General features: G+C 43.9%; 1 protein-coding gene across 2 annotated transcripts in view; it reads left to right on the forward strand.

Moving 5' to 3' along the window:
- Window positions 1-15,046, forward strand: part of PDGFRL (platelet derived growth factor receptor like) — a 66,712-nt gene that overhangs the window by 38,151 nt on the left and 13,515 nt on the right. For both annotated transcript variants that reach the window (NM_006207.2, NM_001372073.1), the window contains 2 exon segments: window positions 6,468-6,619; window positions 13,904-14,197. In NM_006207.2, coding sequence (NP_006198.1) covers window positions 6,468-6,619; window positions 13,904-14,197 — 446 coding nt within the window.

A 15,046-nucleotide genomic window follows, 5' to 3' on the forward strand; every position in this document is an offset into this window, starting at 1 on the left:
GTAAACTTGTTTAGAGACAAGGTCTCCCTCTGTTGCCCAGGCTGGAGTGTAGTGGCACAATCCTAGGTCACTGCAGCCTCCAGCTCCCAGGCTCAAGTGATCATCCCACCTCAGCCTCCCAAGTAGCTGGGACTATAGGCTGGCATCGTGACATCCAGCTAATTTTTAACATTTTTGTAGAGATGGGGGTCTCTCTTTTTCCAACAGAGGCAGCACAGAGCGTTCAAAGCAGAAAATCTTTGTTTATCTACCTGAGGCACCCTGGGAAAGTTGTTTGAACTGAGCTTCAAATTCTTCTCTGGCAGCTCCAACACTTCCTGTGTAGCCTTGGGAAAGTTACCTAACCTCTCCAGCCTGTTTGTTCACCTGCCACGTGGGGTTAATAATAGCACTTATCTCTCAGGGCTTCATGAGGATCAAATGAGTCAAAATGGGTAAAGGGCTTACAGCATTGCTTAGCACATATTAAACACTGCTTAAGTTTCAGTTATTGTTATAAGTCTCATCATTGCCATCTCACGGGATTGAGAAAAAGTAAAGTGTCTCTTCCGTATTGCCAGTTATGAAGTCGATGCTTAATAACTGATGGGTGTCCCATTCTTGTTTCCTTTAATTAATTACCGGATGGTTTAGTGTTGACTTAATAGAAAACAGTGTACCGTTTCTACTATGGAATTTAAAATTCTGAGCTCATTTAACTGGATCTCTCATATTTTTGTTTGTGATTTGGGAGTGTGTGTGTGTGCATAGCTATACTTAGCAGATTTTACAAGCTGTTAGAGGTGCCATCACTCAGTCAAAATTGCTTCATTTCATTTCATTTCTGTAGGATGAAAATCCATGCCCTCTTAATTTATAAGTGTTTGTAACCTGAGTCTGTGTGACACTAGATTAGATGCTCTGCCACTCAATAGCTGAGTAACTTGGACAAGTTGCTTCTCTATGTTTCGGTGCCCTCAAGCAGTAAAAGGGGAAAAATAGTACCTCCAACTTAATGTAGCTGTGAGAACCAGGGGGACCATAATAATGACAATTTCTAAAGTGTTTCGAGTCTGGGTGTGGTGGCTCATGCCTGTAATCCCAGCACTTGGGGAGGCTGTGGTGGGAGATTGCTTGAGGCCAGGAATTCAAGACTAGCCTGGGCGACGCAGCAAGACCCTGTCTCTACAAAAAAATGTAAAAAAATTAGCCGGATGTGGTGGCACATGCCAGCTACTCAGGAGGCCAAGGTGGGAGGATCCCTTAAGCCTAGGAGTTTGAGGCTGTAGTGAGCTATGATTGCACCACTGTACTCAAAGCCTGGGCAAGAGAGCGAGACCCTATCTCTAAACGAATAAACAAGATGTATTGAGCACTTCTCTGTGGCAGATGCTGTTCTAAGTCCTGAACTTGTTTACGGAGCTTGGCAGCGTGCCTGCACTCAACAAGCATTAGCTATCATTATTGTTACTACAAGTCTGAAGAGTAGGTGAAGCCAGACTGTGGAAGACGAGCTGTAGCTAAGGACTCTGAAGGTCATGGTGGAGCTGGGATTTGAATCTGGTCAGTAGGGTTCCAAAGTCCATGATTTTATTTTATTATTGTTATTATTTATTTATTTATTTATTTATTTATTTATTTATTTATTTCTGAGAGGGAGCCTTGCTCTGTCACCAGGCCGGAGTGCAGTGCCGCAATCTCAGCTCACTGCAACCTCCGCCTCCCGGGTTCAAGCGATTGTCCTGCGTCAGCCTCCCCAGTAGCTGGGACTACAGGCATGCACCACCGCGCCCAGCTAATTTTTGTATTTTCAATAGAGATGCGGTTTCACCATGTTGGCCAGGATGGTCTCGATCTCTTGACGTCGTGATCCACCCACCTCGGCCTCCCAAAATGCTGGGATTACAGGCATGAACCACTTGCGCCTGGCCCAAGTTCATGATTTTATGCCTTTCACCACAGTCTTCAGCCAACTTGTCGTCCAGAATAACATCGCTTTGTTCTGCACAAACTTGCCTTTTTTCTTCTCTCTGGAGACCTCCTTCCCTGGGACTGCATGCCCTCGATTTGCGCATGTTGACATCCTTCCTTTGTACCAAGACCCTCTTGGCCTAGAGGCTCTTGCTGGTTACTCTCCTCGGAGTTCTCATGGCATGTTGTGTAGGAGAACTCGGGAGCAGGGACTTCTCTAGACATCATTGCATCCCTCCTGTCCTCTCCAGCACCTCCCATTTATTTTGTACTTACTAAGTATGTGTGGGTATAATACCAATGAATCATTATCTTGTAACCCAAGGCTCACCCTTGCCCTTGGCTTGCAGAGTCTTCACCGGGGCAGACAGGAAATGGACCCCACTACTATTAACTGGCCACTGCCCCAAGTAAGATGCACCGGTCCCTATATCTGAGGACTGTCAGCTCCCTCCTCTGTGCCATCTCATGACTTAGGCCACCCCCAGGAGAGAGCAGCCTGGGCTAAATACAGGAAGCTTCAGTCCTCCACTGATGGGAGCAAGACTCTGTGTGTGTTAAGGCCAGGGGAGCGTGTTGGAAGCCATGCACACACATACACATACACGGGGTCTTAAAATTTGAACACTTTCACTTTGAAACATGGACTTGGCCATCACTGAGATCTCTGTGGGTCAGGGCTAGAACTCCTAGTTTAGAAAGAAAAGGCCAGAGGCAAGCTGATGTGTTGGCGTGTTCAGAGCTGCTTCCTGTTAATGTGAATTCTGCTTCTCTTAGGACGCTTTTTCCTGGCATTTGGTCATGACACCTTCTTTTTGCTCCACTTAAACTCCCCATTCGCCACTTTCTCCATCCCTGGGGATGGTGTTCAGCGGTTACACAGAAAGGAAGGGTCTTTGATGAAGCATCTCTGTACAGACACTGGCTCTGAAGGGCTCAGGGAATCCTTGTCTCCCTTGCGTGACACGGACTCAGCCTGCAGAGGCCCTCGGTCACTTCCAACCCCTTGCGTAGTCTGCTGCCTAGACGATGAGATACCATTGGTAGAAATGGACATTCTAAATCCAGGCCCTGAAACTGTAATCCCACTAAATAATTTGTTTCCTGTTTTATATTGTTTGCGTAGAAGAGGGGGTGGAAAAATGCAGAACTGTTTTCCAGTGCGTTTCCTTCCTTCCGCCCCCAAACCTACTAAAGATACAGCATGCAGATTGCACACTGGTGGTAGGGTTATTCCCAAGTGTTAATTTCTTACGTGCCTAATTACTTTCCCAGTAGGAATGGCATCTTATACTTTCTATCACTACAGTGCTAGCAAATGCTCGGCCCAGAGAAGATGCGCAGTGAATTTACTGATTGCCTGCTGATTTGGTACCCTGGTTCTGAGCTCTACGGGAATGTGGCCAGAAATTATTGTCCACATGGGGAGACTGTCGCCTCCATTTTCCCTTCCCTTTTCTTTTCTTTTTTTTTTAATTTGCTGAAATCTAGCTTCATCCTTAAAACTAGCATTGATCTTTCCATTTTTATTTTTTATTTTTTAAGTCAGGGTTTTGCTCTGTCGCCTAGGCTGGAGTACAGTGGTGGGAATCATAGCTCATTGCAGCCTCGACCTCCTGGACTCAAGAGATCCTCCCACATCAGCCTCCTGAATAGCTAGGACTACATGCACACTACCATGCCTGGCTAATGTTTAATTTTTTGTAGATATGGGGTTTTGCTATGTTGCCCAATCTGGTCATGAACTCCTGAGCTCAAGCGATCCTCCTGCCTCAGCCTCCCAAAGTGTTGGGATTATAGGCATGAACCACCGCACCTGGCCTGGGTCGACCATTTTTTATTTGCTGTGCTAACTATCCCCAGTGCTGCATGTGTACTATTTGTCATGGCTATAGTAATCTTCATGATTACTACTATTCATCTGTAATTAAGATATAATTGGGATAACACAATGAATCAGGCATTGCACAAGGGGCTTTGTATGTATTTTCTTATCTAATGAGTGGTATTCAGAACATACTTAATTGACTTAAGGAAGACTTGCTCACAAGCGATTCACAAGCTGTGGGTTTCAGGGAAGTCATTTCTGCTGTCTGAGACTCAGTTTTCCCCCTCTGCAAAATAGGGAGCTGGATGCCTGCCTCTCCAGATTCTTTCCTTTTCCATCACTGGTTTAACTCAATTCGCTCATGTTTAGGGAGTCCTTACTGCATACTCTGCACAGATTTGTTGCTTAGAGAATATAAAACAAATACAGTTCAGTTCCTGCCTCAAAGCTTGTACCATCTAGTGTAATGACAGGAAGCCAGGGGTATCCGAGGGGTAGAGAACAAGGAAGTCAATTATGTCAGGCAAAAGTGGGGAGATTCCTGAGAGTCGATCCTAATTAGAAGCTTCCTGAAGGAGGAGAGATTTCCGTTCAGGGTAAGGGAGGCAGTTGATGGCGTGGGAGTACAGAAGCACCACTTGGCAGAACTGGTGGACAAAACAAGCTATTCCGCAGTGAACCAGAACAGGGCTGCGTTCAGGACCAACTCACCTGACATTTTCCCTATGCTAAATGTAAACTGGTCACGGTATTGATTCTGCTGCAAGATAAACTGCAGAATCTCAGCTACATCATAAAAGTATGTGGATCTCAGAAGAGCGAAGCATTTGGATGTTCGAGATGAGTCCCCAGATTAAAACTGCTTATTTTGGCGCCCCCATGTGCTGAGGCTCTCAGCCTCAGGGGAACCTCCAGTGTGAGGATGATAAATCTGATACATCTGGATTTGTGCCACAATATAATAGAATTAATTACCATTGAAATTGGCTAATGCTAGTGTTTAATAATAAATATGTATGCCCCTCTTCATTTCAGAAAGAAACTGAAGGGGTTTGCAAATATATTTGCCATGCAACAAGTTACAAAATACAAAAGATAAGGAAGAAAAATAAAAGAAGAAATAATAGAGTAAGGTCAGAGGAAAAGTCGAAATGCCCAAACCCTTTAAATACTTTATTAGAAGTGGGCTGTATGCATACTTTGGGCTCAGGACCTTATCAGCCAATGCGTTTTCTTCCTAAAAGAAAGTTTTTGGTTTTAACATGATAATGTAGCATGTGTAAGATTCTAAGAGTTAATGCAGAGACTTATCTTTATTGATGAAAGGGATTTTGGATATTGCATAATGCTGTGTGCTTTCATTTATGTTGACTGCTTACAAACGATTCATGAGACACAGGCTGAAAGCAAAACACCAGGCCAAGGCTTTCTGGCTGAACTTCTGAGGCTGCATAGCTATTGCACCAATGGTTTTACTTAAGGAAACCGCAGGTCTGAGGACAATTACATTCTCCAAGAAGAGGAATTCTCTTTGACATTTATTATTTCCTTTGAGGAGAGGCTTTTCTCTCTGCTTCCCCCACACACCCATTTATCAGAAACGTACTCTTTATTTTTTAGAGACAGGGTCTTGCTCTGTCACCCAGGCTGGAGTGCAGTGGCGTGATCATGACTCACTGGAATCTCAAATTCTTGTGCTCAAGCCATCTTCCTGCCTTAGCCTACCAAGTAGCTAGGACTACAGGAGTCAGCCATCATGCCAGGCTCATTGTTTAATTTTTGTAAAAATGGGGTCTTGCTATGTTGCTCAGGTTGGTCTCAAACTCCTGGCCTCAAGTTATCTTCCCATCTTGGCCTCTCAAAACACTGGGATTATAGGCATGAACCACTGCCAAACACATTCTTTTTTTTGAAATTTATTTTAGTGGTGACACATTGGTTTATTAAAATATGTAGCAATGTATGGTGAAAATAATATTCATATTTTCTTAAAACAGAATATTTCAGTTTTTAGTGATAGATTTTGCTTTTTAGGGTGGTTTTAGGTTGCAGAGAAATGGAGAAAAAGATACAGGGTGGCCATTTACCTCCTCCCCTCCTGCACACAGTTTTCCCATTATTAATTTCTTACGTTAATGTGGTACATTTTTGACAACCGATGTACCAATATTTATACATCATTATTAGCTAAAGTCCGTAGTTTAAGTTAGGGTTCACATCTTGTATTGCTCATTCCTTGAGTTTTGACAAATGTATAATATTGCATTTTCACGATTAACATTTCTATGTATTTGATCACTGCATAAAATATGAAAACAGTAGTAAAATCCAGAAATACGGTTATGAATAAAATTTTTTGAATTGTTGCAAAAAATATTTACCTCATTGTATTACGCTGAAAAGCCGAATAATCCATCATGTTGCTCAAATTGTTTTAGAATGAACTTTAAAAGGTAAAAATGTCATTTTTTTCCTGATTTCTTTTTTTTCAGTTTTTATCATTTTTTTTTTTTTATTATACTTTAAGTTCTAGGGGTGTTTGACAAGTCAAACACATTCTTATATTACTCTATGACATCGGAGAAAGATTGGGGCAAGTCTGCCCAGAGAACAGTGGAGCCGAGTGTGACAGCTGGAGGGCCCCAGCCAGGTCTGACTTGCTTTGAGTTCATGTGTCTTTTATTCCTAGCGTCAAGCAGAATGAGCGCTACGGCCAGTTGACTCTGGTCAACTCCACCTCGGCAGACACAGGTGAATTCAGCTGCTGGGTGCAGCTCTGCAGCGGCTACATCTGCAGGAAGGACGAGGCCAAAACGGGCTCCACCTACATCTTTTTTACAGGTAAAATACTTGGTGCATTAATGGAACTCTTCAAACTTCTGGACCGGGCTGAGAGCTGAAGGTTCCCCCACTGCATGCTGAATAGCAAATAATGACAATCAGAGCACTTCCTGTTTGCCAGGCTCTGGGCTAAATGCTTTACATCAGTTATTTCATGTAAGTCTTACCGTAACCCTTCAGGGCAAATACTAATATTATTCCTGTTTTTTTTTTTTTCAGATGGGAAAGTTGAGGTTTAGAGTGATTAAATAAGTCCTTAAGGTCACACAGAAAGTAAGTGGTGGTAACAGGATTTCAACACAAACCATTTGGTTCCAGGGTCTGTCCCTGCACTCCCCAATACGGTGACCACTAAACATGTGTGGCTACTTAAATGAAAATTAAAATGAAATAAAATTAAGAACAAGTTCTCAGTGCACTTGCCACATTTCAAGTGCTCAACTGTAGCATGTGGCTAATGGCTATTGTACTAGACAGCACAGAGAGAGAACATTCCCTTTATCACAGAAAGTTCTATTGGACAGTGCTGCTGTTGACTTTCATCACTGTCTTCTCAGAACCTATGACCATCTTCTTTTTGGAAACTCCATAGGATGCTTCACTAAAGACCTCCCATTTGTCCTTTTTATTATTTTGTTTTTTGATTTTTCGGTAGAAGTGAGGTCTCACTGTGTTGCCCAGGCTGGTCTCGAACTCCTGAACTCAAGCTATCCTCCTGCTTCGGTCTCCCAAATTGCTGTAGTTACAGGCATGAGCCATTCTGCTCAGCCCTGTTTGTTCTTGTGAATACTATGAGCTGAGATTTCGGGGGCAAGATTCCCAAAGATTGTGGCTGTTGTGTCTCCAGTCCCTGTCCCTAAGCCTCAGTGGACTGCCTCAAAATGTTCAGGTCAGAGTGGAGAACTCTTCTCTGCAGTGCAAAGTATGTTTCTGGAAGATGGAGCTTGCATTTTGAGAAACACGTGTGCAGAATAACTGCTCAGCCTCTTTCTTCTGTAATGTTCTCTAAGTTCTGAAGTTTAGGGGATGAAGTTCTCCAGCAAGGTTCAGAAGTCAGTAAGAGCTTTCAGGAATCTTACAAAGCCACCCTCGTCCTATTGTCGTCCAAGACATTTCAGGTGAAACCAGAATCCTTTGTTAGTGCCTGGGCAGGGACTTTCATGAAATTTCTCCATGCCTTGAATCCACCTACCTTTCAGACGTAGACCTAGACATAGGCCTAGACCTAGACATAGGCCTATGACCCAAAGGATGTTATGCCCTGACCATTAAAGAATGTTTTAGTACAATCTTATGTATTTGTCCTTTCCTGCCCAAATAGCTCCTCTCTGGCAAGGAGATGCATTAGTAGGGTATGCTGCAGTTCTGGAAGCACATGTATCTCATTTTGATGCAGACTTTTTACTCCTTAGTTCAGAGATCCAAGTTCTTGTCTCATGCCAGGAAAACTTAGGCACACAGACACTTAAAAGAGTGCGTGGAGTAGAATTTATTATGCGAAAAGGAAAGCTCTCAGCAAAAAGAGGGGTCCTGAAAGCAGGTTGCAGGTTGCTCTCCACACAATTGAATACAAGGGCTTCTATGTTCCCTCGGTAGGGCTGGGTTCCCTGTTTGTAAGAGGCGTGAATTCCTGGCGGCTCCACCCCATCCTTTCAGTGTACCTGCAGGCCCTTAATCTGAGTCACTCCACGTTGATTTATTTCCCTTACTGCATGTGTGTTAAGGGATGGAATTTTTCACTGGGGGTATGTTTAGGCAAGACCCCTGTGCACAATGACCTTGGTAGGTCAGAGGTTCTCTAAGGACATTCCCGTATCTGCTTAGGAGAGTTCTCTGCCTCCTGCCTCTATCAGTTTCATTCCACAACATCCCTGGGAAATAAGCAAAAGCTATTTTATTATCTCCAAAATACTAGAAGTACTAATGCTCATGCTGAGCCTCAATGTTCCAGGACCTGTAGTGGCACAATAAGGAGCCAAACCTGTTTTTCTGACCCAGGATCCAGTGTTTTTACTGCCTTGAACCTTTTGTAGGACAAGGTGAAGGATGGACTGATAGCCAGATTCTAGCTAGCATAACTGGTGTTGTCAGGAGAATTGCTAATAATTGTTCATAGGCAATCTCTTTGGATCTTCATTTTGGAACTCGCTACACAAGATTGTAAATGTGCCCTTTGTATTATACCATGCTGTGAAGCAACAGTGGAAAAAGCAACCAACTAAGATGAATAAAAGTCTGTTATTCAAGTCAATGACTGATTCCACATTTCAAGTTGCAGAAGGAAGATTCTTTGCCAAGATTAGCACTGTTGTGTCTTCCCAAAGTATTGGTCGAGGTTTTGAACTGCAGGCTTAGCTTGGGCAGAATATCCTATTAATATTATGGGCTCTTGGCCAGGCATGGTAGCTCATACCTGTAATCCAGCACTTTGGGAGGCCACGGCGGGCGGATCACCTGAGGTCAGGAGTTCGAGAACAGCCTGGCCAACATGGAGAAATCCCATCTCTACAAAAATACAAAAGTTAGCTGGGCGTGGTGGTGCACAGTTGTGCTCCCAGCTGCTCAGGAGGCTGAAGCAGGAGGATCGCCTGAATCTCGGAGTTGGTGGTTGCAGTGAGTCAAGATTGCGCCACTGCACTCCAACCTGGGCGACAGAGCAAGACTTTACCTCAAAAAAAAAAAATACGGGCTCTCTTTGAGTTTTGGAGGCGGAACCTTTTTGTTTTTTTTTTAACTGAACTAATTTTGGGAACCAAAGAAAAGCTAAAATATATTCATTCCAACTATCAAGAAACTTTGATCAAAAAAAATAAATGCTGTAACACATTTGACCTAATGTGTTATACATCATTTATTTTTTCTTATTTGTCAACACTAAGCTAGGAGTCCAGTTGGATTTTTACTATAGGGTTTGGCAATTTGTCTTTTCAAGCATGGATGGCTTTGAGAAACCAAGATGGGCTGTTACAGAAGCTGAGGTTCTCACTGCTGGCTCAGGATTCTTTCAGAACATGTGTTTCCTGGCTACCCATGTGGAGAAATGTTTGTCATTCATTATGTTTGTATGTTTCCTAGAGTTTGATTAAAAACACTGAAGCTTCTTTTGGGGGACTGACTGTTGTTAGTGTGCAGTTTGTGATTAAATAATTGCCGTATGTATTTCCTCTTTCATCTTGATCCAGGAGGATCTTGGAAGGTTTTCCCTGCTTCTCTTTCACTTCTTATTGTAGTATAACATATGTAAAGAAAAACATTCAAATTCTCAGAATACAGCTCAATAAATTATCCTTAAGCAAACAGGCACATGTAACTCCCACCCAGATCAAGGATGAGAACATTACCAGCAGCAGAGCTTTCTCATAGTAAAAGGCTGAGGCTCTAATTTTTATACGTAGGAAAACCACATTAATAAGTACTTTCCTGGCTGGGTGCAGTGGCTCATGCCTATAATCCCCTAGCACTTTGGGAAGCCGAGGCAGGCGGATCACTTGAGGTCAGGAGTTCAAGACCAGCCTAACCAACATGGCGAAACTCCCTCTGTACTAAAATGCAAAAATTAGGTGGGCATGGTGGCACACGCCTGTAATTCCAGCTACTCGGGAGGCTGAGGCACAAGAATTGCTTACACCCAGGAGGCAGCGAGTCAAAGTTGCAGTGAGCCGAGATGGCACCACTGCATTCCAGCCTGGGTGACGGAGTGAGACTGTCTCAAAATACTGAATTTGTTGTAATTTGGATTTAGTTTATAGCTTGTTAACTTGCATTTATTTATTTTTTTATTTTTATTTTTATTTATTATTATTATACTTTAAGTTTTAGGGTACATGTGCACAATGTGCAGGTTAGTTACATATGTATACATGTGCCATGCTGGTGTGCTGCACCCATTAACTCGTCATTTAGCATTAGGTATATCTCCTAAAGCTATCCCTCCCCCCCCCGCATTTTTTTGTTTTTTTGTCTTTTTTGAGATGGAGTCTCCCTCTGTTGCCAGATTGGAGTGCAGTGGCACCATCTCAGCTCACTGCAACCTCCGACTCCCCGGTTCGAGCGATTCTCCTGCCTCAGCCTCCCGAGTAGCTGGGATTACAGGCATGCGCCACAGTGCCCAACGAATCTTTGTATTTTTAGCAGAGATGGGGTTTCACCATGTTGTCCAGGAGGGTCTCGGTCTCCTGACCTCATGATCCGCCTGCCTTGGCCTCCCAAAGTGCCGGGATTACAGGCGTGAGCCACTGCACCTGGTCGAGTTTTTTTTTTTAATCTAAAATCCCATGTGTTTAGTTTTCTTTAAGTAAAACATTTGTCTTCTAGATAAGTGGATATAAATACATTTGCAGGGGACATGTGTAATCTATAATTATTAAAACAAACTTCAACACTTTGTTATTGTTGATGGAAGCTACGGATTGCAAATATATTTTTAAAGCAACTGGTTTGGTCACATTTCAAAGTATGTATTATAGTATAAGAAGTAAAGTATATATTATAGTATAAGAAGTAAGGCTGGGAACATTGGCTCATGCCTGTAATCTCAGCACTTTGGGAGGCCAAGGCAGGAGGACTGCTTGAGTCCAGGAGTTTGAGACCAGCCTGGGCAACATAGTGAGACCCTGACTCTAGAAAAACTAAAAAATAAAAAATTAGACAGGCATGGTGGCACGTGCCTGTAGTCCCAGCTACTCAGGAGGCTGAGGTGGGAGGATCATTTGAGCCCTGGAGGTTGAAACTGCAGTAAGTCATGATGGTGCCACTGCACTCCAGCCTGGGCAACAGCGTGAGACCCTGTCTCAAAAAATAAAAATACAAGAAGATATTTTTGTGTTCTTAAATTCACACGGTTCACTTATTCGACTAATGGCTCTGCTTATCGCTTCAGATTATTCTACACACTTTTAAAACAAAAGTTGCCTCTAAATCTTGCAATCATAAAATCCTAAAGTGTTGTTGCTAAGAAAACATCTTCAATATTATCCACTCCAGATTCTTCTCTTGACAAATGTGGACATTGAAGCATGAGGAAATAAAATAATGCCTTTGAGGCCATGTAGATGGACTCTGTGTGAACTCATGAACATTAGGCATGACGTTGACAAAGGTACCCCTTACCTAAGCCTGAAAGCCAATTTCTTATGAAGTTGCACAGACCTCCCAGCCTGATGGAAACCCATGTAAAAGACGGAGACTCTCTGAGCCATGATATACTCTTCCCTCGTCTTAGAGTCAGGAGGAAGGATCTCCGTGTTAGTGAACTTGGTACTTACAGCCCAAGAACTCTTGGCTCATGAACCATTTGATGATGTGTCCAGGAATTCTGCCCCCAACCTAAAACACCATCTAACTGTGACACAAAGAAGGCAAGTGGGGAAGAAAGCCAAGAAAAATTATTTATTTCAGGAACACTGTGGGGAAAACACAAGAAAGCATGTAATACGTATTGGGGTATCACTAGCTCTGAAGATTTCTCTTTGCAAATACTGTAATATTCCCTCACAGAATGATCCAGAAAAACAAAGGATTCAATGTACCATGCCAAAAAAGAAAAGCCACCAGCACCAACAAAAATACCCCCAAAAGCCCAGTCCAGAGTTTCTTGCCTGTCCTAAGGACAGAATTGGTAGGCCAGTCCTCGTTTCTCCCATTTCAGTAAGATAAAAATGCCATCATCTGAGCTTAAAGAACCAGGCAGAGTAATTTCAGAGGAAATGGGGGGAGATAAGAGACTGGCTGAGGATTCCCAGCCAGGTGCTGGCCAAGCCGAGAGCAGACCTGAGACTGATGGGTTCCTCCTTCAAGCCGACGCCATTCCCCTCCGCTAACCTTGGCAGGCGCCAGATCCTCTGGGCTGTGTGAGGACAGGCTGAGGACACTGTCACCGTGCTGGGGCTCCCAGGGGAGCTCTGATGTACTGGGAAATGCTTCCTGGCTGGCAGTTACTGACTGTGGCTGTGGGGCTGATTTCTCCACCCACAAGCAGCAGATGGTTTCAAGGTTTTACAACTGCTAAGGGTTTAAAACTTACAATCATAAAATCACATTAGTAAGTGCTTTCCTAAATATTGAGTTTGCTGTAATTTGGATGTAGTTTACAGCTTATTAGCTTGATTTTTTGTGGAAATCTAAAATCCAATGTGCTTGTCTACTTTAAGTAATACGTGTGTCATCTACATGAGTGGATGTAAATACATTTTCAGGGGACATATGTAATCTATAATTATTCAAATGAGCTTTAACACATTTTTTTGTTGATGGAAGCTACCGATTGCAATTTTTTTTTTTTTTGAGACGCAATCTTGCTCTGTTGCCCAGGCTGGAGTGCAGTGGCATGATCTCAGCTCACAGCAACCTCTGCTGCCTCCTGGGTTCAAGCAATTCTCATGCTTCAGCCTCCCATGTAGCTGGGACTACAGGCGCGCACCACCACACTCAGCTAATTTTTTTTTTTTTATTTTTAGTTGAGACGGGGTTTCACCATGTTGCCCAGGCTGGTCTTGAACTCCTGAGCTCAGGAGATCCACCCGCCTCGGCCTCCCAAAGTGCTAGGATTACAGGCATGAGCCACCACGCCTGGCCAGATTGCAAATATATTTTTAAAGCAACTAGTGTGGTCACTTACTTCAAACTATATATTATAGTATAAGAAGTAAGGCTGGGCATGTTAAACTTTAACTTGTTAAAGGTTAATATGTTAAATCTTAATTTAAATCTTGTTCCTTGCTTCCTCATGGTGGTGATCCATGGGCGTCATCTGGGCTTGTACTGATACCTTTTCTGTTTTCTTTCTTTCTTTTTTTTTTTTTTTTTTTTTTGAGACGGAGTCTGGCTCTGTCGCCCAGGCTGGAGTGCAGTGGCGCTATCTCGGCTCACTGCAAGCTCCGCCTCCCGGGTTCACGCCATTTTCCTGCCTCAGCCTCCCGAGTAGCTGGGACTACAGGCGCCCGCCACCATGCCCGGCTCATTTTTTGTTTTTTTTAGTACAGATGGGGTTTCACCGTGTTAGCCAGGATGGTCTCGATCTCCTGACCTCGTGATCTGCCCGCCTCAGCCTCCCAAAGTGCTGGGATTACAGGTGTGAGCTACCGCGCCCAGCCTTCTGTTTTCTTTAAGGAGACAGGAAGTTAAATCATTCTTCCAAAAAATGAAAAGCATTAAAGTAAAAAAAGAAAACCCGGCCTTTCCTACTCCTAAGGACTCAGTATTCAGAGTATGCTGCCAAAATCCTTAAGGGTGCTTTTACTTTGCGTCTCCGGAGTGAATAAGCCTGTGTCTTCCTTCCCTTTGCAGAGAAAGGAGAACTCTTTGTACCTTCTCCCAGCTACTTCGATGTTGTCTACTTGAACCCGGACAGACAGGCTGTGGTTCCTTGTCGGGTGACCGTGCTGTCGGCCAAAGTCACGCTCCACAGGGAATTCCCAGCCAAGGAGATCCCAGCCAATGGAACGGACATTGTTTATGACATGAAGCGGGGCTTTGTGTATCTGCAACCTCATTCCGAGCACCAGGGTGTGGTTTACTGCAGGGCGGAGGCCGGGGGCAGATCTCAGATCTCCGTCAAGTACCAGCTGCTCTATGTGGCGGGTAAGCCTGGCCACCCCTGCCTAGATTCTAGTTAGTCCCCTGGTCAGTTTCAGGTACTGCTGTTCCCTGCCTGCAGATGGAATAAGGAAGCTCCATGAGTGCCTTTTGTTTCATTGTTGTTGGGTTGTTGTTGTTTTTTTTTCTCTTTTTTCTTGAGACAGGGTCCCGTTTTGTTGCCCAGGCTGGAATGCAGTGGCACAACCATTTTCTCACTGCAGCATTAAAGCCCTGGGCTCAAGCAACCCTCCCTCCTTAGCCTCCTGAGTAGCTGGAACCACAGGTATGAGCCACCATGCCCTGCTAACTTTTTTTTTTTTTTTTTTTTGTCTCATAGAGAAGAGGTCTCCCTACCTTGCCTGGGCTGGTCTCGACCTCCTGGGCTTAAACAATCCTTTGATCTTAGCTTCCCAGAGTGCCGAGATTACAAGTGTGAGCCACCATGCTCGGCCCACTTATGCCGTTCTTAAAGGCTTCCCTTCTGCCCCACCACTTCTAGGATGGATGTTCTCCTTCCTTGTTATGACCCTGACCGAAAACCCCTCTTCTCCATTCCAGCCAAATCCTTCCATCGTTCACTCTGGTGCTGCCTCTGTGTTGGATCAGGTCTTCTATGTCCCCAAACTCCTTTAGAGCATCCTCCCAGCCTCTTGGTCTAAACCCAAATCTGCTGTCTCCTAAGGACATCATTCATTCCCACGTCAAGGCTGGCATCCTTCTTGTACCCATTGCCACCTGCCAACCCTCATTCTCTGCCCTTCTGTTGGGAACCTCTGCTCTTTGGGGGCTCTACCAGCATTCTCATTTCCTTTCCTGTCACTCCCATGCATTCATCGAACATTTTGGCACTTG

The sequence above is a fragment of the Homo sapiens genome, chromosome 8 (assembly GCF_000001405.40).
Source record: "Homo sapiens chromosome 8, GRCh38.p14 Primary Assembly".
NCBI classification, from domain to species: Eukaryota; Metazoa; Chordata; class Mammalia; order Primates; family Hominidae; genus Homo; species Homo sapiens.